Source organism: Homo sapiens, chromosome 17 (assembly GCF_000001405.40).
Source record: "Homo sapiens chromosome 17, GRCh38.p14 Primary Assembly".
NCBI classification, from domain to species: Eukaryota; Metazoa; Chordata; class Mammalia; order Primates; family Hominidae; genus Homo; species Homo sapiens.
This window is the reverse complement of record NC_000017.11, coordinates 56,517,977-56,540,070: the sequence shown is the minus strand read 5'-3', so window position 1 is coordinate 56,540,070 and position 22,094 is coordinate 56,517,977. Positions and strand designations below refer to the sequence as shown.

At 43.0% G+C, this 22,094-nt stretch overlaps 1 long non-coding RNA gene across 1 annotated transcript; it reads left to right on the top strand.

Moving 5' to 3' along the window:
* Positions 1-1,131: 1,131 nt before the first annotated feature.
* Positions 1,132-7,218, top strand: LOC112268194 (uncharacterized). The gene is made up of 3 exons (XR_002958121.1): positions 1,132-1,375; positions 2,237-2,380; positions 6,955-7,218. It is a non-coding gene; the product is annotated as an uncharacterized LOC112268194 (long non-coding RNA).
* Positions 7,219-22,094: the final 14,876 nt, after the last annotated feature.

The window sequence follows — 22,094 nt, the reverse complement described above, 5'->3', positions numbered from 1 at the left end:
CCCTCTGCCTGGAACATACTTCTTGTTTTTATCTCATTAATTTCAACTCAACTCTTATATCTCAGAGCAATGGCACTTTCTTGGAAACTTTCCTTGACCCCCCCAAACTAGATCATTTCCTCTATTTCAAAATTTTTGTGGGAGTTAATTTCCAAAGATGATCCCCAATGAACCATACATTCCAGCATTCATGTACTTTTGTGGTTCCCCTTCCTTGAGTCTACTCTGACCTTCTTTTTTTTTTTTTTGCCAATAGAATGTGGCAGATGTAACACTGTGCAGTTTCTGAGACAGTCATGAGAAGTCTTGCATCTTCCACTTGGTTCTCTTAGAGTGCTTGCTCTTGGGACACCTCCCCTTCTAGGAATCCAGCCACCATGTTCTGAGAAGCCCATGTTACATGGAGAGGCCATGGGTAGGTGCTGTAGTCAAAAGGCCCCGCTTGAGTTCCAGCCGACAGCCAATGTCAACTGACCATGATGCTGAACTTTCATGTGCCTCCACCTCCAGCTGCTATCTGACTGCAACTGCATGACAGAGGCCAAGTCAGAACCACCCAGTTGAGCCCAGTCAGTCCATAGAGCCATGAGAGACAAAAATACATGTTTGTCTTAAACTACTAGTTTCGGGATTGTTTGTTACACAGCAACGGATACCTGAAACACATTTGCAGTATTATATTCCTTGGGGTACATCATTCCTCTCCTTCGTTGTACTCATCACAGCTGTGACTGTTTCTTGCCTAATTATTTAATTAATGATTCTCTATGGATTCTTTTCTTACTAATCTATAAGCTGTATGAGGGCAAAGACCATGTTGACCATGTATTTTGCTTTTATTTTGGGGCTTTGTTTTGGCTCATCATTGACAATTGTCACTTCATGGCCACATAAGAAATATTTGGGGAGCCTTTTTTGGTGTAAGTTTCAGGAGAGGCAGGGATTTGCCTTCCAATAAGAAAGATGGAAAGTCTTTATGTGTCAGAGAATATCTGACAGATAGGGCACAGCGTGTCCCCAGAGCTCAGCCAGTCAGATGCTCCTGCCTGGGTCTTAGAATCTGGAATCAGTGATGCAGAGAAGCAGGGAGGGCTGAGGATTCTTTTCGGTGGCCCTGGTAGCAGCGTCTGGTGTCCAGTAGTGTCAGCCTCAATGCCCTAACTGACTCATCTGAGGTATAACCTTGGCTGTGCTATGGCTGCCCAAATTCCTTTAGTTCCTGCCTATCCATTTTACAAGTTGGTTCTCCAACCTTGCTGGTGATCCTCTGGGCTACTTGATATCCCTTCAGAATTTCATTTATGTTTAAGTTAGCCAGAGTTGCTTTCTGTTGTGTCTAACTGGTGATGTTGACTAGTCACATAGTACCCAGCATGTAAGTATTCCTAAAGAAATGAATATGAATGAGTGTCAGGGGCCAAGGTGGATATCAGAGATTCCAGGATAAATAAACTTCTAATTCAGAGATGCCTATTTCTTTTTTTTTTAGATGGAGTCTTGCTCTGTTGCCCAGGCTGGAGTGCAGTGGTATGATATTGGCTCACTGCAACCTCCACCTCCTGGTTCAAGCAATTCTCCTGCCTCATCCTCCTGAGTAACTGGGATTACAGGCAAAAGCCACAAAGCCTGGCAAAGTTTTGTAGTTTTAGCAGAGATGGGGTTTCACCATGTTATGGCCAGGCTGGTCTGGAACTCCTGACCTCAAGTGATCCTTGGCCTCCCAAAGTGCTGGGATTATAGGCGTGAGCCACTGTGCCCACCCAGCCAGAGAAGCCTATGTTTTGCTAAGTTATAGATATCCATGTAGAGTAATTAGAGGTAAGTGCTGCAAGAATGATGGGCACATAATTATGGGAACCAACTATAGCTAAGAGAGGAACGGGGAGGGGATCACCTTGACTTATGTCAGTGACTGTAATTAGATAAACTGTAAATATTTATTTGTTGAATAAATTGATGAATAAATAAATGCAATATTGAAGTAATTAAATGAAAAGCTTTGGCAATTGTACAGTAGTACATAAATGGAAAGTATTATTCTTAGACTAACACGTTGAATTCTGTATTATTTATGTTGCAAATATCAGAAAACCCAAGTCAAACTAGCTTCAGTAAAAAGAGAATTGACTGGCTCATATATCAGAAAAGTCCCGGAAGTGTAATAATTTCAGGTGCTTGGGTATTGTTACCAATATCTTCTCAGCTTTGATCTTATCTGCATTGGCATTATTCTTAGGTTCTCTCTAAATGGTGGTTCCCAGACATTCAAGACTTCCTGTCTCAGGTCCAGGCTCAGAAGACACAAACAAACAAGAAACTACGTTTGGTTGTTCCAGCATAAAACCTTGGGTTTGCATTGGACAAGATTGGCTTACTTTGGGTAATATATGATGCTTGAATTGGCCAGACCTAGTTCATGAGCCTGAAGTTGTGTTAGAGTTCAGCCCTACTGCAACTACTAGTGGTTAGGATCACAGGCACTGCATGCAGTCTACCTGGATTTGTAAATCTCAGTTCTGCCATTTAAGAGCAAATTACATATTTATTTGTAAGTTATCTGAGACATCTCTCAAATGGGAATAATAATAGTACCTGTACCAAAGAGTTGGTATGAGGATTAAATGAGTTAATTATGCAAAATGCTCAGATCAGTGCCTGCCATGTGGTTAGAGCTTAATGTATGTTAGTTACCATTCTTAGCTATTACTGCATGGACTGAGAATAGTGAAGAGATGGTTTCCAAAGGAAATTCAGGGGGCTGTTACCAGAAGACGGTACGAATGAATGCTCGAAAGGCAAGAACAACAAATGTCCACTACACTTCATCCCCAAGTTCTAACAACCAACTACTGGAGGTGGGCAGCCAATAAGCTCTTGCATGAAGCCAGCTGGGATTCACAGCTGCCTGTTGGTGTCAATCTTATCCCCCAAGGTGAAGTTCCAAAGCACAGTCATGACCACCTGATCAACACCCCAGGAGGGCTGAATGTCTCTCTGGCAATCAGCCCTCATTTTTCTAGGCTTCACCTTTGTGGCAGTCTTAGAAAATCCATGGCTTGGCCAGCCTGAGTGCACATTAAACCATTTCAAAATGTTGGAAGAGGAAGTCTGCATGCTTAATGTGTAATTTAGCTGAAAGAACTGGAACAACTTTCATTTTGGTATGTTCCTCATTTTGCAAATGAACGTTATTTTCATAATGGACCATAATGGCTTGCTCAGAGTTATTCTGGTCTGTCATATTAATGTGGATTACAGTGCTTTAATAAGAGTTGACTTTTGAGTCTTTGGTCTGTGCATCCCATATACCAAATCATCAGTCATTATTCTTGTGAACTGATATCTATTTCTTATTTCATTACGTCCATGGGATGAGAAAGAACATGAATAATACATCAACAAGCCCCAAGCACGTCAATGGGTTGAAGTGACAAAGGACTGTTTTTTTTTGTTGTTGTTGTTGTTGTTGTTGTTTTTCCATTTGTTTGTTTCTTTAGAGACAGGGTCTCACTGTGTTGCCCAGGCTGGAGTGCAGAGGAGAGATCACAGATGATTCCAGTCTTGACCTCCTGGGCTCAAGTTATCCTCCCACTTCAGCCTCTTGAGTAGTTGGGACTACAAGTATGCATCACACACCTGGCTAAGCTTTTTAAATTTTTTATAGGAATGAATCTCACTATGTTGCCCAGGCTGGTCTTGAACTCCTGGGCTCAAGGAATACTCCCATTTCAGCCTCCCAAAATGCTGGGATTACAGGCATGAGCCACTGCCCCTGGCCTAGAACTGGTTTTTAAGTCCTTCCAAAATTCCAGTTGAGGAATAATTGTGTTCATTTTGTCCAATTTTATCTGGAATCTCCATGTCTTCATCATTCTTCTTGTCCCTGGAGGTAGGCTCAAGAGATGATCCAGACTTCTAATTTTGCCTAATTCAATCTGTTTCAAGATGGGGGTGCTTATGCCATAAATTAACTGGGTGAGAAGGATATTCACAGTCAAGAATTCCTGGAGAGCACGTCTGGCAGAGAATTGGTTTTAAGCTAGGTTTCTGGAAAGAAAACTTAAGCCCTTGAAACAATTTCTTCGAGGAGTGCTGGAAAATCCACAGACTGCTCTGTGCTAAGAGTCCCACAGTATTGCTTGGAGACACCTGGGTGGTGACTGTGACAATCTACAGCTACAAGGCTTCTGTGACACACTCTTTCCTTTGCCTGGCATACAGCAAGATTCAAGGCTTCCTTTGGCTTCTCGGTGTAGCATCTCATGAGTTCTAGACTCACTGTTACAGGGTAACCATTAGCTCCTGTCTCTCCCCAGCACCCAATCTCTCCTCTCCCTCTCCACTTGGAAATGCATTCCCAAGTTCCATTCATCCCTTGCTTGTCCTGTTGCTTTCTACCTCAGCCTTACCCTCTTGTAGGGCAACCATTTATTTTATATATTCTAGGCAGACTCAATATCAAATGTTACACGGCTTTGTTATAACGTGTGTCCAGCTCTATATCGATTCTTAGTTTAGAACATACGATCCCATGATTTTCCCCTCATCAACTCCATTACTGAACAGTCCTCAAATGCTGCCCCAAGGAACAGTAGACAGCACACATTCAGCAGAGCCAGAGAGACTTGGGTTCTCACCTCAGCTGGACAAACTTGCTAGCTATGCAATTTAGGGCAGGTTATATCACCTCTCTGATTCTCAGTGTCCTCATCTGCAAAATGGTCATAATCACATATACTGCAGGGGGATTCAGATGAAAATAAATAAAGCTGGGTGTGGTGGTGTGAGCCTGTAGTCCTGGCTACTTGGGAGGCTGAGGTGGGAGAATGGTTTGAGCCCAGGAGTTCAAGTCCAGCCTGGGCAACATAGCGAGATTCCATCTCTTAAAAAATCTAATTAATTAAATGAGACCATGTCAGTAACACATTTAGTGTACTGTTTGGCACACAGCAGATTTGCAGTAAATATCTGCTGTTGTTATTTGTGAAATCATTCAGGAAGATAGGAGGTAGATTTGCTTCATTTGTGGAGGACACTGGTTCCTATTCTTCTCCTTCTTTTCTAAACTTCCTTGGAGCCTTCCCTGTCTTTTTCTTTTCCTTCCGTTTTCTTCATGCTGTAGTCTCTTCCACCTTTTTCAATCCCACCCACAACTTTGAGATGATGGAAAAGGATAGAGTTGTTTATTTTGAGAGTAAATTCAACATTGACCCTCAGAAAAAAAGACCCCTGCAATACGCTCTATTACCACATAAGTGTCACATTTAAACAAAGCCTTTTGGCCTGAACTGAAAATTACTGTCCCACTGGGAAGTATAAACTGGAGGGGCTGCCTGCATGAAGGAGGGATGCCTAGCAGCTGGCAGGGCTATGTCTGCAGGAAGGAGGAGCCGAGCTCTTTGCTTTATGCATTGATTTCATTTGGAAAATTGTGTTCCCCATTTTCCCTCCAAAGACAGGGAAAACAAGAGCAATCTGTTAAAATGTTGGAAAGGAGGAAAGCAACAACTACCATATAATAAAATCAGTGAAACCCGCCCCCCACCTCCCCCTTCAACTAGCAGCGGGAGAATTCTGTTAGGACTGCAGAAAAGGTCCAATGATACAGTCTAAAAATGGCATGTTGATAGGACTTTGCACAAAATATCAAACAAACAAAAAATGGCGGAGCAGAGGAACTTCCTTTGGCCTGGATAATAATAATGTTAATATTGATAAAAGCAGACATTTACTGAGTACTTTTCATGTACCAGGCATGAAACTAGGTGGTGACTTCACATATATAAACTCATTTACTCTTCGCAGCCACCTTGTGAGAGATGTGCTATTTTTATCCTCATTTTCGCAAATGAGGAAACTGAGGCAAGGTTCAGTAACTTATCCAAAGTCACACAGTTGATGATTTGAGCCCCAGCATTCTGGTTCTAGAACCCGTTCCCTTCACCCCCTTCTTATGCTGCCTCATTTGGTGGGAGATGGAAGTGAGTTTGCACACACTATATGTGCATACCTCCACACACCTAGCCAAGGACACTGAACAAACATCTCTAAAACTGCATGGATCTTTCTCATGGACCTGACACTATGCTGTCTTGGATAAAGTACAGTCATTTGCATGCACATCTTGTCGTCCCCTTAGAGATTGCAGAAACCTTGAGGATCTTTCCATTTCAGTGTTCTCTACAGGTCTGAATACTGCACCTGGCATAGAGCAGGGGCTCAATAAATAAATGCTTGTTGAGTTGAGAACAGGTAAGTGTTAGACAAGGCAATGCTGACTCTAAGTGTGAACTAGACATTTCAGAGAAGATTTAGATCCGTGCGGGACAGAGAAGCTGAAGAAAGTTATGGGGAAGAAATGGACCTTTAACATTTAGATAGATAGATGGCTCAAAAAAAGATGCTCAGGGTGGGGAAGGCACATGGGAAAAAAAGATGTTCAGGGTGGGGAAGGCACATGGGAAAAGGACAGATACAGGAGAGAGAATGGCATGGCAGGAGCTAATAGGGAGATCTGGTCAACCAGAGTGAGCACTTGAACCTGGTGCAGCTGGTGGTCACCTGGGCTGGCAGAGAGGTTCTTGAGCTAGGACAGTGCCTTGGGGAAGGCAATGCTTTCAGGATCCCAGGGAGCCAGTATGGCCCAGTGGTTAAGTGCATGAAGCCCTTGTCCAGGGCTCTTGGGTGTGAGGGACGTTACAGGAAGATATGTATATGTTTAAAAAATAAACCAATCTCTGCTTTATTTTTTTAAACATTAATATTTTCCTGGCACTGCTGGTTAGAATTACTTGTCTGAGTGTCTTCAACTCAGCCATTTTCCAGTTGTGGGATCTTGAGCGAATCACAAGCCATACATCCCTTTGAGGGTGTTGAGAGGATTAAATGAGATGATGTGTGGGCAGTGTCTAGCGCTGTCCCATAGTAAACAGTGCTGCCCTTATCTGTCTAAAGCCGTGAGGTCGAGGATGGTGTTGTGTGGGGGGTAAGTCTGAAGCCAACAGCAATTACAAGAAGAAGAGGAAGAAGAAGAAGGAAGAGGAGGAGGAGGAGGAGAAGAACAAGAAGAAGGAGGAGGAGGAGAAGGAGAAGGAGAAGAATCGTTAAGTAGCAGCTTTATACCCAGGCTTCTTGTTACATAATGGGGAGGTGAGTGGTTACCCTACAATTTTATAGGAGTTAATGAACTATTTGGGCTTACATGCACTCTGTCTGGCTTCCAGGCCAATGGGCTTTCTCCCACCATATCTTGCCAATGTGGTTCAGGATATGATGGGAGAGGGAATTTTACTGGTGGAAATATCCCTAGGCTACTAGTTGGAGGACATCAGGTAAGTGCCCTAACTTTAAGGAGGCCTCTTTTAATTCCTTCTGCCTTTTGAGAAACACACCAGCCTCCACCATCCTACCTCCTAAAGATTCTGCCAAAGGCACCTGTCCTCTTCTTTCTAAAGAATCACCATCTTCTGTGTTTCCCCAGTAAATGAGAAGCTTTGTGTGAAGCTTAACTTTCTGTAGTTTGTTTTACATTTCATTCCCGTTTTCAAACAAATTTGTAACATTGGGTTTTAAAATTTCTAGTACTAGAAGGTAAACGCCATGAAGGCAGGGCCTTTGTCCAGCTTGTTGACTGTTTTATCCTCTTCACTTAGAACAACACTTGGCACAGGGTGGAAGCACTATAAACACTTGTTGAATGAATGAACATCCGTTTTCAAACAACACATTATCCTTGGGGATTCTGTGTATCCCTGGCACATATCCGGAAGATGATAGCTAGTATTATTAGTATAGCAATACACTTGCTCATTTTCCCAGCCCCTACTCCACAGCTAGACTGTTCATTCTGTATGGTCAGTGTCCTGGGGTCTTTGGAATCTTTTATATCTTATTACTGAATTTTGTAAGGGGCACTGCACCAGCTAAGTGCTCAGTCAATGCTGAGAGATTGATTTGTTGGTGTTGTGTAAGTGCATGTGTATGTGTGCAGGTGTGTGTGTGTGCAGGTGTGTGTGAGTGTGCACACAGGTGGATATGGGTGTGGTTTCCATACCAGTCTGCCTTCCATGGGCTTGGAGGACATTTGCTAAAGTTAGTCAGAATGGCTGGGACCCAGGACTCTTGGGTTCTCTTCCTATGATTCATGGGCATTCTGGGGAAGTCTGTGAAGCCCTTAAACTGCAGTGAAAGCTGGTATTTAAAAAAAGAGGATGACTTAGTTCCTCGTTCCCTTTTGTACATTTTTCCACTAGCATACAGGCTCCTCCAGGAAATTTTGGATCTTTTGCCATCCTTAGAACAAGTCATTTCATTATTAGTATTTATTTTTGCTTTTTTTTTTTTTTTGCATTAGCTGTCTACTAATTAGGCATTTGCTTATAACGTTTCATTCATTGTTTAACACTCACTTACTCTGCCCCTACTGTGTGCCAGACACTGGCTGACACTACAGAAATGAGACACATCGCTGCCCCTGAAGGGCTCCTGAGGTGGGGTGACTGACAAGGGCCTGGGAGCAGGGACCCAGTAGAGAGGTTGGGAGGGTGGGGCAGGTTGAGGGTCAGGGTTCAGGGACGATTTCCAGAGGCGGGAGAACTCTCTGAATGAGAGCTCACGAGGTGCCAGGAATCATGCTAAGCACGTTACAGACATTATCTCATTCACTCCTCACCACTCTATGAGGTAAGTGCTATTATCCCTGTTTTCATGTCACTTTGGATGAATTACTTCACCTCTGTAAGTCTTAGTTTCCTCATCTGTAAAATGGGTTTCATAAAACCTCAGAGAGTTATGGTTTAAAATGTACACAAGGCATTTAACAACATGTTAAGCTGGAGTTACTAGATGGCTCATAAATGTTACCTACTGTTATTATGATGAGGGCATGGGGCCTGCAGAAGGTGAGTGGCTTCCCCAAGTTCCCCTAGAGAGTGAGGGTCAGAAGCCAGGTTTAGATTCTGTGCTCTTGGGTGCAGGCCACACCGCCTTGTATGTCTGCTTGGAAGTTTAGGAAGGGTTTGGAGAGTTTGTCCTGGATGGAAAGGTGTATTACTGAAAGATTTTCAGGAGGGAGTGGCCGTCCCACATCTAATCTACTCTACTCCATGATCCCATTCATAGAAGATGTGTTAGTTATCTGGTTAGCCTCTAACATGGACATGGCACCTCTTCCCTTGACTTCTAAACACTATAGCCCTTGAGCTAACGTTTCCTCTTTCTTTTGCATTGTCCAGGAATTATCTACAGTGGAAACAATGAAGCCAATAGAAGACTAGGGATTCTCGCCATGGAGTTTCTGGGTGGCAAATAACAAAAAGAAGTCATTTTTATGGGGGTGGAGGGTGGGTGGAGAGTAAAAAAATAAAATAGAAATAAAAGCAATCTGTTTCTGGCACTGGATTTGCTCATTGAAGTCATTTTTTATCCTCCGTACAGAGTCACTACCGAGTTCTTCTTGGAGCCACCTCCCAGGGCAGTTGTAAGGAGCCCTGATAAAGATTTATGTGGTTTGTTTTCTTTCCCCAAACTTTTGAAGATCAACAGAGGAGGTAATGTTTATGGTTGGTTGGTTAACCCTATGGCTCTCTGGGGTCTCCTTCTGCGACCCCTGGGCTGTTTCTCAAGGCAGGAGGCAGCAGGCCTTGGCTGCCGTATCTGGGGAACTGGCTGTTTAAAGGCCAGGGTTGGAGAGAGTTTCAGGCCCAATAGTTCCGGAGGCTTTGCTCACCACAACGGCGTCATCCCAGCCGAACGCCCCCACCATCTTCGGAATAGAACCAATTTATCTCACAGGGGAGTGAAGGCTTGAAAATCAGCGTCAAGAGGAAAAAAGAGGTTGGGGGTGATGCTTACAAGGTTGGGTTAGTGAGACACGAATAGATTTGGCTCTGAACTTGTTAATCCTGCTCAGGTGAAAGCAGAATTGTCCAGGGCTGTTGGGTGTGAGGGACGTTATAGGAAGATATGTACATGTTTAAAAAATAAACAAATCTCTGCTTTATTTTTTTAAACATTAATATTTTCCTGGCACTGCTGGTTAGAATTACTTGTCTGGGTGTCCTGAACTTCGTTTCTGAGACCCAGCTGAAAACCCTGGACAGCTGGAGGGAAGCAGACACCTTGGAGAACCGAAATAATTTGGTATGCCTTTCAGACCTTATTAAAAAACGAATCCATTTGGTTTTTTTTTCACATGTTCCTCTACATCCTAGGATAGCTACTGAGAGAACATTGGAAAAACATGTCTTTTTGGAGTTTCATTGGCCTACAGTTCAGGAAAACATAGTTCTTTGCTTCATGCAGGAAACTCTGATCTTAAAGATCCAAATCTTCCATTGCTGTTCAGGAACTCAGGAGCTAGCAGTGGGAGTCTTTAGATTACTCTCCTAACAGTCATAGGGGTTCCTTTGGGAACTTACACTCAGAAGAAATGTTAGTTTACCTATTTATTGATTCATTTATTGCTATTCTTTCAGTCAACAAACTGTCCACGAGGTACTCAGTAAATTTTCAAGTCATATCTAAGATTTCAGCTGGCCCACAGCAGTCCTATTAAGGGTAATGGTAGTAATTCTAACATATTATGGCCAAGGAAACTGAGGCAAGGTGAGGTTGAATAACTGGGTTGCACAGTATTTATGACTCTTTTCACTGCTCCAGGCTGCTTTTCCCAGAACCTATGGTAGAACAGTTCTAAACTTGGGAGCCAGAAAGACCTGAGCTCAAATTCCGTGCCTTCTATTTACTTCAGGTGAGGCCCTGGGCAAGTTGCTTAATTTATTCAAGCCTCAATCCATGCATCTGTAGAATGGGGATCAAAGCAACAATAGCAACTTTGCCAGGGTGGTGGTGAGAATCAAACCAGATGAGGTGTTCAGAGTCCTGTACAGATAGGTTCTCCATTGGAGTATGAATATTGTCATTATTAGGTTGAAGCTGTTATCTTTTGCTCTCCTCCTACAGTCCCAGAGGAGTGCTGCAAGTTGACAGAAAGCTTAACTGGCCTTTCTAAGGGGTAGATCCAATCTCGGGTGCTGTGCTGTCTGTGTTGGGCAGTGGTGGTCTTGAGAACTGTCAGCTTTGGTTTCTCCACCAGGAGGTAGAAATACTTAACATAACACAGTGACCTAATCAGGGGCATACCAGATGCTATCATCCATAAACAGCCATTTATTCAAGTCAAGCAGGCCCCACATGCCACAGGTAAGCTGGGAAAGAGAGATTGAATTGTTCAGTCCTGCAGGAGTGGAGGTCAAATAGAAAAGCAACACAACCCTTACTCATAACTTCCAATTGCTGCAATTTTTTTAAAGCAGGTTAAACAGGCTTTCCACTGGAAAGGTGTGGAAAAGACCCAAGGCGGGACAATGACAAAATTTTATTTTTTAAACAATCATCTTCCTCCTGGCTTTCTGCAAATTCTCTCATCTCAAACCATTCTGCCCCATCCCACATTTTAGCATTTGTCACTGCTCCTGTTTCCCACTCCTGAAGAAACATGGAAGGCACAAGTTAGCCTGATTCAACTCCAAAAAGGCACAGTCTTCCCAAATGAGCAAAAATATTGCCACCTAAAACTATACACAAAATGTTTATGAAACGAGAAGGGGGAGATTCAGAAGTTATAGGAGCCGGCAAAAAGTAAATAGTGCCCAATGTATGTGAGAGCACCTCTGATTGTTTCCTTTGCAATTGCCACTTAAAATGTGTAGACATGTTCTTGCTTCCTCCCTGGAAGGCCCCACCCTCCCCACCCCCAGTCCCAGCTGCACATGCACACAAGAACCCACATATATATGCATGCTCGCTCTGACTGAGGAATCCGGCAAAACACGGGGCTGTTCTTTATAGACCAGGGAGCTTGTTGTTTTAGTCTGTTGTTTTCATTTCTGTGCACCTGCACCCCTTGCCTAAGACCCCCACCACATTGCCTCTGCCTTGGCCAACAACACGGGGATGTGTGTTTCTGAATAAGTCACACATTATGCAATTTGGTTTCCTCAGGAATTTGGTAGAAAAACTCTGGATCCCGGTGAATTGGGCTTAATTGCATCCTTCAGGTCCTGGGCATGTTTCACCTGCCTTGGGTTTACTCTTTGGGATTCCCCAGTCCCCATCAGTTCCCTCCATCCCTCCCTCCCCCCAGGAGCTGCATGCATGATGAGGCTGAGGTCTTTACCTTTAGCAAGGCAATGAGCTGGGTATGTGGGTGGTAAGGACAGCCTGGGCTGCCCGGCATTCTGGTGGCCAAAGGGTGGGTGGAGGGTGGGCCCCAGACTCCAGGTTGATGAAGAGTTATTTCCATGTATTTGACATCCAGTCACCATGGGATCCTGTTTGCAAATGATAAGTAACCCAGTCAATATGGTACAAATTATCAATAGCAGCAGGGGGAATGCTGACTGCTGCAGCTTGGGCTTTGAAGAGATTACTGTGCTCTTGGTGCAATCCAGGGCCAATAAGGTCTTAAATCCAATTTCAACTTGGTAGGTCTCTAAATCATGGTGGAGGTGCCATTGCAAAAACAAAGCAATGGCTCCTCCATGGTGGGAGCAAGCCAGTCAGGCCCCAAATAAGATCCAGAGGAAAATCATGCCAGGGTTGCTTTGCATTGCTATGAAGGTGACCTTACTTTCTTAACCAGAGAGAAGATTGAAGGTTAGGAAATCAATGGTGGCTGGTTGGAATATGAAGAATGAGATGAAAAATAAAGAATTTGGGTTCTAAGCTCATGCTCATGCACCCAGTGTAGATATCACCTTCACAGTATCCTGAGAATTGGTGGTCCTGCTTCTGGTTGAACATAGGGATCTCACTGCTTCAGCTGTGAGTGGTACCATTCCACTCTTAGACAAAAGTTTTCATTTGCAATTATTTTTTCTGTTAAGGTTAAATTGGTTTCCTTCTCAGATGAATCTTTTGGTCACTGTATTGCTTATCTATCGCTGAATAACAAATTAACCTACAAATTTAGCAGCTTAAAAACAACAAACATTTATTATCTCACACAGTTTCTGTGGTTCAGGAATTCAGGAGCAGCTTAGCTGGTCGGTTTTGGATAAGAATAGCTCATGATGTTGAAGTCAACCTGTTGGTTAAGACTGTTGTCAAACAAGGCTTGACTGGAAGCTGGACAATTGCTTCCAAAATGGTTTGCTCATATGGCTGTTGGCAGGAGACCTCAGTTCCTTACCAGGTGAGCCTCTCCATAGGGCTGCTTGAGTATCCCTAGGACATGGCAGCTGGCTTCCCCCAGAGAAAGAGCATGGAGGAATCCACGATGCCTTCTATGACCTAGTCTTGGAAGTCACACATAATCATTTCTGCCACATTTTTAGTCAATAGAAGCGTGTCACTAAGTCTAACCCGCATTCAAGGGAAGGGGAATTAGGCTCCATCTTTTGAAGGGTATCACAGAATTTCTAAACATGTTTTTAAACTATCACGGTCAATTCTCCTAAATGATGCTACATAAAGTAAATCTACTTAACAATTGTCACAGTAATCCTTCAGATATTTCACTGCAGTTATCATACCTTAACACCTCTGGCTAGACAGCTTCAATTTCTTTGACTATTCTGTGCCTGACTTGGTATATATCTATTATCCTTGTATAGTGTGACAATGAAGATAAAACATGGTATCCCGGATTGAACATAAGACTCAAACTATGAATAAAGAGTACTATGTAACTCTTAGAGCTCATTAACACATTCTAAGCACAGTGCCAGGCATGTAATAGGTATTCAGTTAATGTTTGCTATTGAAAGAATGAACAAAAGAATGACTATATGAATGGATCTATTTCTGTTAAAATATCTAGAGATTGCACTAGTGGACTTTTTTAAAAAGCAGCTTTTTATACTGTGATTAATTCGAGCTTGTTAACTAAAACACCTGAATTAATTCTTTTTATCCCCCCAATCCTTTGCCCAGCTAAAATTCTCTCATCTTGTTCTTAGATTAACCAAATACAGAAATTATCTTTAATCTCTATTAAATGAAATCTGCTGGTCAAGACCATTTTGAATAATAGTCTATCATCTAGCATAAGCTATCTCTCAGATTTATATGGTCTAAAAGTGTAATCTAGGAGTTGTCCATACAAGTCATTGATCAAATATTGCTTCATCAGGCAACCAATTTATTTCTTCTGTGCAGGTCTGCTCTGCCACCAGGGCTCCTGATTTCCTGCCCCTCTCTGTCACTGGGCTCTGTATGCAATCAGCACTCCAAAAATGACAAACCACCCATAACTAACTTGTTCTAACTGCACTTAAATCCAAGCCATCCTCAACAGATGTGACTCGCTCCCTCAGTAAAGTCCTTTGGAGAGGGAGATTCCACTGCCTCCCACAGTTATCCATTTCCAGAGTCCAACATCTGGAGGTTAGGGAGAAAAGAGTAGGGAAAATGATGTATTGGTAGAATAATTGGGGTGGAGAGGATTTATTCTTGGCCTTTTTAGCAGGAACCAAAGTCTTTTTGGGGGTGAGTGTGTGGAGGGAAAAGTGGGAGTGGGAGGATAGTTCACAACCAAAATCTTAACATCCAGCAGAAGTGGCCATTTTAGAAACCAATATAGAGAGTAAAGAGGGGATGAGTCTCACACAGATGTCAGTGTCTGGGGCCAATTAAGAGAGTTCATTTGGATGAACCCAAAGATGTAAGGGAGGAATCTGAGTTTTCTTTGTTCAAATTAGACATGGCAAAATTCTGGGCTTAGTTTATTTTCTTTTTGACTTACTTTATTATTGTTTTAAATTACAGAAATAATATATGCTTTTAAAAATAAAAAGTCAAATAATTCAGAATCATATAAAAATGTTACTAATTTCTCCCTTCCTTTTCCTAGCTCAAACTCTGAAGTTAACAACTTATATTTCTTTTCATATTTATTTCTGTGTATGTTTATATATATACACACACATACACACACACACACACACACACATATATATATATATATATATATAAACATACATATGCATATAATAGAACTTAAAACAATGCTTATAGCAGGCTGGATTACAAAAATACATTTTATTCTCCCACTTTCCTTCCTTACCTTCTTCCAACCCATCATAGAGATCTTTCTATGTCAATGTAAATGGCTTTTACCCGTTCTTCATAACAATACTAAAGATGCAGCAGAATTTGTCCAATTGTTTCGCTATTTGTGGGCACTCAGGTTGTCTCCAGGTAGTTGTGTCACGCCCAGCAACTTTGCAATAAGCATGTTGTACAAATTTCTTTATCTACTACTGATTTTCTCTCTATTGGATACATTTCCTAATGTATTGGTTTTACCTGGTAGCAAGTTTTACATTCTTTTATGCTAGTCAATGGTGTGATAAACAACGTACTGTCTTCTCTCTCTTCTCTTTTTTGTTTTTTTTTGAGATGGAGTCTCATTCTGTCACCCAGGCTGGAGTGCAGTGGTGGGATCTCGGCTCACTGCAAGCTCCACCTCCTGGGTTCACGCCATTCTCCTGCCTCAGCCTCCCAAGTAGCTGGGACTACAGGTGCCCACCAACACGCAAGGCTAATTTTTTGTATGTTTAGTAGAGACAGAGTTTCACCATGTTAGCCAGGATGGTCTTGATCTCCTGACCTCGTGATCCGCCTGCCTTGGCCTCCCAAAGTGCTGGGATTACAGGCATAAGCTACCGCGCCCGCCCTCTCCCTCCTCTTTTAATTTGCTAAGTCATTATTTTATTTTGTTATGCAGCATTTTCTTTTTCTATTATTATTATTATTATTATACTTTAAGTTCTAGGGTACATGTGCACAACGCGCAGGTTTGTTACATATGTATACATGTGCTATATTGGTGTGCTGCACCCATTAACTCGTCATTTACATTAGGTATCTCTCCTAATGCTATCCCTCCCTTCTCCACCACCCCACAACAGGCCCCAGTGTGTGATGTTCCCCTTCCTATGTCCAAGTGTTCTCATTGTTCAATTCCCACCTATGAGTGAGAACATGCGATGTTTGGTTTTTTGTCCTTGTGATAGTTTGCTGAGAATGATGGTTTCCAGCTTCATCCATGTCCCTACAAAGGACACGAACTCATCATTTTTTATGGCTGCATAGTATTACATGGTGTATATGCAGCGTTTTACTTTTCAAAGTGACTATTTGTCTGAAGTAAAATCCAGGAAAATGCATCTGTTCACTGTTTGGGTCGGGGAGTGAGGTGGGTTAGTTTATTTGGATGCAGTTTTGAGATTGGTCTATATGTGTTGGTGAGTGTGTGTATATGTGTGTGTTTGTGTGTGTTTTAAATGACTCAGCTGAAATGCAAGGACTAACCATATCTAAATATCACTCCATGTTAAATAAAATAAACGGGTTTTAATATTGAGGCATGGTATAGGATTTAAAGTCAGAAGACCTGCATCTGAATTTTCTGTTTTTTTTTATTCCTACTGGCTATATTCTCTTAGAGTTGGTATCTTCATTAAAAAAAATGGGCACAATGACACTGCCCACCTTATACGTAGTGAGAATGAAGAGCAAGATTACATTGTAAACCATACGGCCTTTCCCATGTGTTTTAAATTTACTTAATGCTAGCAAAACACTCCAGAGGAAGGTGCTATTCTTTTTAAACAAGCCAGCCAGCAAGCAAACAGACAAACAAAAACATAAAATTAGAAAAAGGTCACCAAGACCTTATGTTGGAGGGGTCTTCCAGAGACCCAGGAAGGCACATTCCAGAGGCATCCAGGGACCACAGAGGGGATGGCCAGGTTGAGTGGAAGGAACCAGAGGCTTAAGAGTAAGAGTGTATTTCAAAACAGTCACACACAAAATGCTGTTCAAGCATTTTCCGCATTTGAAAGTTCTTAAATCACCTGGCTGACCAGGATTACTTTCTTTTGGGGAGCTGTCTGGTTTTGGTAATGGGTCTAAAGATGATTGCTGATAGATTGAGGCTGTTTGCTGGTTTCGTGCTAAGGAATCCTTGTATACTTTTCAGGTGTTTTCTTCTTTCATTGAGGCAACCAGTTCCTTGGTGTGCCCAGGACCATTCTGGTTTTAAAACTGAAAGTCCAATGTCCTCAATGCTAGGCACATTGGACAGTTGGGCATCTTATGTCTTGATCTTCATACGTGAATAATTAAAACTGTTTAAAGAAAATATGTCATGATCATGAGAGTTGTCCTCCATCTCTCACTTCCCTAGGGACTATTCTTGATTCTTTAATTTTGCTTTTGTAGAATATTAATGTTCTGTGAGATGAAAGAAGGGGCTTTTCCATTAAAATGGAATAACAGCTATTTTTTTCCAATTAACAGAAAAAATTAAGATGACAGAATTTTCTCAATTTTAAGTCCTGTATTCATAATATCATTTACCATATTATATTATAACATATGATTATATGTTAAATAAGAATTTTATATATAGATATGGCATACTATAAAAGACTGTGGCTTTTAATGGGCTTTATGCAATAGAGTAAACTTTAGGGCCATTTTAGAAGAGATTACCTTGATGGAGTGTTAAATAGGAACTTTTTGAAAGGCTATAAAAGAAGGGGATCCTATGTCCCAGTTTTCCCAGGTAGTCCCTGGTAAGCCAGTGTCCCAGGATTCTGCCCAGGTAGCACCCATTCTCACTATCAAAAGTCTGATTGATAAATTTTATTTTCTCCCCCTTTATAAGGGACCTGGCAGGATGGAACAATCTTTCTTTCTGGCTAACATTTGCCAGTGACACACCAGGCATTGGTTTGATCACTTTCCATACATTTTGATCATTTAGCCCTTAAGACCATAAGTAGGTGCTGTCAGAGACAAAGAACCTAAGTCCCAGAAAGGTTAAGTAACCTGCCCATGTTCAAAATGCTCTTAAGGGACAGAGTCAGGAGTAGAACCCCCGTCTGGCAAACTCCAGAGCCTGTGTGTTTAGCTGATATACTGGTCAGAGATGTTGGACTTGAGACCTACCTAGCCACCTGAAACCCTCAAGAATTCCAAGATGTAACCTCAAGTGGCCAGCAGGGCTTCCTTCTGGGGAAGCCGTGTTCCTTGGTTGAGAAAATGAAGTGTTTGTACTCATCTGAGTATTTCAGATAATCCCGAGGGACGCCTTGTCCATCCCTCATGGGTAGGGCTGGCTGTTTACAGGCATGCTTTTTTTTTTTTCTTTCGCAATTAGAGTATAAGGAATCTGCTAAGACCTTGTCCCACATAGCCCTGCCAGTTGGGTGTTTCAGGGTAGATAAAATGAAGAAGTAGGAGTCCAGTGGCCTGCCCCAGGGTGAGAAGAGAAAAGGGTAAATCTGTGTGCGCCCTAGCAGCCGGCAGCTCTCCCTGTGCTGTGGCCTGTTCTGGGACTGCCAGCCGAAGGAGGCTTGGAATGGCTTAGACCTGCCTCTGTGCCTTTCGCCGTCCGGGTAAAAACATCACCTCTCTGGAGGCCTGTGCTGGAGCACAAACCCACGTATTGTCTGGCCCCTGGCAGGCTGGTCTGTGGAGGGGACACTCTAAGAGCTCTATTTTAATCTTTTGGAGCTGGGCCAGGGTAGGAATTCAGCTGCCAGCCCCAGGCTCCCCACCCCCCTGCTCTCACCCTGCCCCCCACCCCCTTCTCCTGGTTTCATTCGCTCTGACCTCCCATCATGAGAGGTGCTGGTGTTCTTTCTTTCTCCCTTTCTCTTTTTTCAACTACCAGGGCTCTTTCATTGATTTGACCTCCCAAAGTGAGGCAGACCAGGGCTCCTCAGTGGGCTACTCGGGGCTCAGGGCTGGCATGAGGCCAACCCTTGAATCCTGAGATTTACCTCCAGATGTGTGTGCCTCTGTGCTTGTATGGACGTGCGTACTTGTGTTGTGTGTGAGTGAGAGATCTGCGTGTGTTTGTGCGTTTACGTGTGTTTTTTGTATCTCTATGACTTTTCTCTCCATGTGAAGAAAATGTATGGATGGAAAAGTTGAGGAGAGGAGCAATTAGAGGCAAAGAAAAAGGGTGGCCTAAGTCCATAAACCTCCTCTTCTCCCTCTGCCAACAGTGCTTTCCCTGCCAGGAGTCAGATAATTTCAGCTGTCCCTCAACGGGGTCTTCTTATCCCCAAGTTTCTTGGGTCTGCTTTTCTGCGTAGGCCTGAATCCTGCAGAGAGACCACGTAGTAGAATGGGCATTGGACTCCTATATTAAACTTGAATTCCAGGCTTGGCTCTGCCAGTTGCTGGTTGTGTGATGCTGGGCATGCAGTTTTGCTTCCTTTGAGCCTCAGTTTCTCAGTCTGTAAAATGTGGATGATAATGCTGTTGCTTTTCACAAAAAGTATAAGGTAGAAGATTAAATGGTACTCAAAAGATGACCCATAAATGTTAGCTCCTTTTCTGCTTGCCTATTTCTCCCAGGATCAAGTCCTAAGGCAGCAGTTGGGCCTGGCTCCTGGTCCCCGTGAGGAAGCCCTCAGCTGGTAAGGAGGGGCTATGTTCTTCCTAAAAGGGTGGAAGGGGGAAGAGGGTGTGGTCTTTCTCCCCCACTGGGAATCTCCCATCTTCCCTCACCCCCATCCTTCTGGCCTCTGCCAATGATGTGCATTTTCCCCTCTGCACCGGCCTCCCAAACTGACTCATTACCTCGACAGGGTAGCAACTTCCAAAACAAAACTCTTTCAACCAAGGAAAATATAACTATGGAGAGGAAAACATTTCAATATCAGGCCTCCTGGGACCCAGGGAAATGTACTGAATGTTTGTCAGAGAATGATGATGTCCTGACTTCACAGACTCTGCTGAGGGCAGAGGGAGAACAATGCCTGACACTTGGATCTAGCCAAGCCAAAATGGCCCAAGCAAAGTCCAAGCTGGTGCTCAAGTTGGCCCAAACTTGGAAGAGTCAGATGTGTGTCCAACACTGAGCTGCTAAACAGACCCACTGTGGGCTGATAAACATCCTTCATAAAGTGGGGCCCGGTGCCTTGTTCTATACCAGGCTCTCATCTTCCCCTTGACCCCAAAGGAGATGCCCAATTCAGGCTTGCTGTCTGGCAAAGGGCCAGCTTGCTTCATGCCTGGGTTCTGGGAAGTGGCTAATAGAGCACATTCCACACTTAATAATAGTGCCCCCTGGAGTTGTGCAATGCCTTGACCCTTTCTGGGACACTCCAGGGAAGTGATCTTACAGCAGCGATCAGGCAAAATCTAAGAGAACAGCTGGTGGGCGGTGCTGGTGTCAGATTAGATGCTGGGGAAGGTCCAAGGGATATTCCAGACCATAACCACTGTGATCCCAGTGACTTGGACAGCAAGGAGAGGGGAACTGAAATAGGTGAAATTGTTTTCTGAGAGAGACGGGGGTCAGGTGAGGCAGAAGCCTGATCTAAATCTTTCTGCGATGAAAGATTTCTTGCAGGGCAGGGGAATACTGGGGACACTGAGCATGGACTTCCCACAGTTTCTTTCTCTATAATAGATTCAATGTCATCTACGTAGCTCCCACAACCTATGCACCCCCAAAAAACAACAATAACACAAAACGCATCCCGAAAATAGAAACATTCTGAGAATCCCTGCTTATCTCTGATAGGTAATCAATGTGAGTGTAAATTCATGGAATTTCAAAGCTGAAATAGAGCTTACACATTTTATAAACGCCTTTATCTGTAAGTTCAGAGAGGAAAAACACACAACTCTTTCCCATGAGGCCCAGGTTCTAGCTCAGAGTCAGGCCCTCTGTGACTGCAAGAAAAAGTGTCTTGATTGCAGTCACAGAGTGCCTGACTTTGCCTTGGGGGAAAGGGTTTGTGTGCTTTGTTGTCTTGTTTGGCTTCATTTGCCATCGTTATCTGTGTCTGTGTAAATGTCGCTCGCATGTCTGGCTGTTCAGGGTGTCTTCCACAGAGACAGCTTCCAGTGGCCTTTTTAATTTTTTTTTTTTTTTTTTTTTCTCAAAGGACCTAACTCAATGGCACGTGGCACTCTGGAAAGTGAGGAGTCCTGGGCCCTAGTTTTCACTCTACTGAGCCTCACTCTTTTTATTTGTAAAGCAGAGATATACGTTCTTGTCCTGATAATCTCACAGGGCTATTTGTTAGGCTCAGAAAGGATGGTGCTTGTGAAAAGTGTTTTCTAAACATATAGAAAATTGCAGTTATTAAAGCTGGATGAGGAAAATGGTGTGTGCAAAAGCAGCCATACTGGGCACGAGGACGAGACTTTTGCAGGTTTTCTGGGTATTCAGTGGGTGTGGCTGAGCTGAGTGATCTGCATGTCAATTCAGTGGTACCCAATCACTGGGCAAGATATCATGACACTCTGAAAACTGCTGGCCATCTGGAGGTGCATCTTGCACCACAAGAAAGGGCAGGTTTCTCCTCAGACCCTTGGCTTCCATCAGGTGGGCCAGCTCCAGATTGGACGGTACATTCCCACCCAATCAAGGTTCTCTGGAGGTGATGTGTGGGGTAAGTGGTGCAAGTTTTCAGGAAATCATAGAGAAATACTTTCAAGGTACCCTGAGGGGACAAATTGAGCTTCATCTGAGCCACTTTAGAGAGTTGCAGGCTGGTAGGCATGTGAAAAAGTCTTAATGTCCATTCTTTATGGAGAAATTAAGCAAGGTATGGGATTTAACCTGATTTTAAGTGCGCGCTCTACAATTTCTGGTGGTCATCGGTTTATTACCCATTTAACAGATATTTATGTCAGGTGCTATAAAATGTGCTGGGGTGGGGTGACGGGTAACAAAGCAGCCAGTTGTTTTTCTCTTAGAGCATCGGATCTAGTCTAGTATGGAACTGGTACCTGAATTCCTGTAGTCAGTATCTAACACTAGTATTTTCTTTGGCAAAATATCTTAATGCAACGTTTGACAGGACAGGCCACTAGAAGGAGCATCATGTAAAGACGGGAATGCCACATGCTACCTGAAGAGGAAATGCATTTGCATAGTCAAAAAATCATTGCAAAGATCTAACTTGCTTGATATTATGATAATATCAGGTAAGATAATTTTCTTATGAATGTTTTTCTCCTGTCTAGGAGTCACTTTAAATTGATAAGAAACTGTTGGTTTAAACTTGCTTACTTCCCTAAAATGATTTGTTTTTATTATAGAGAAGAAGGAG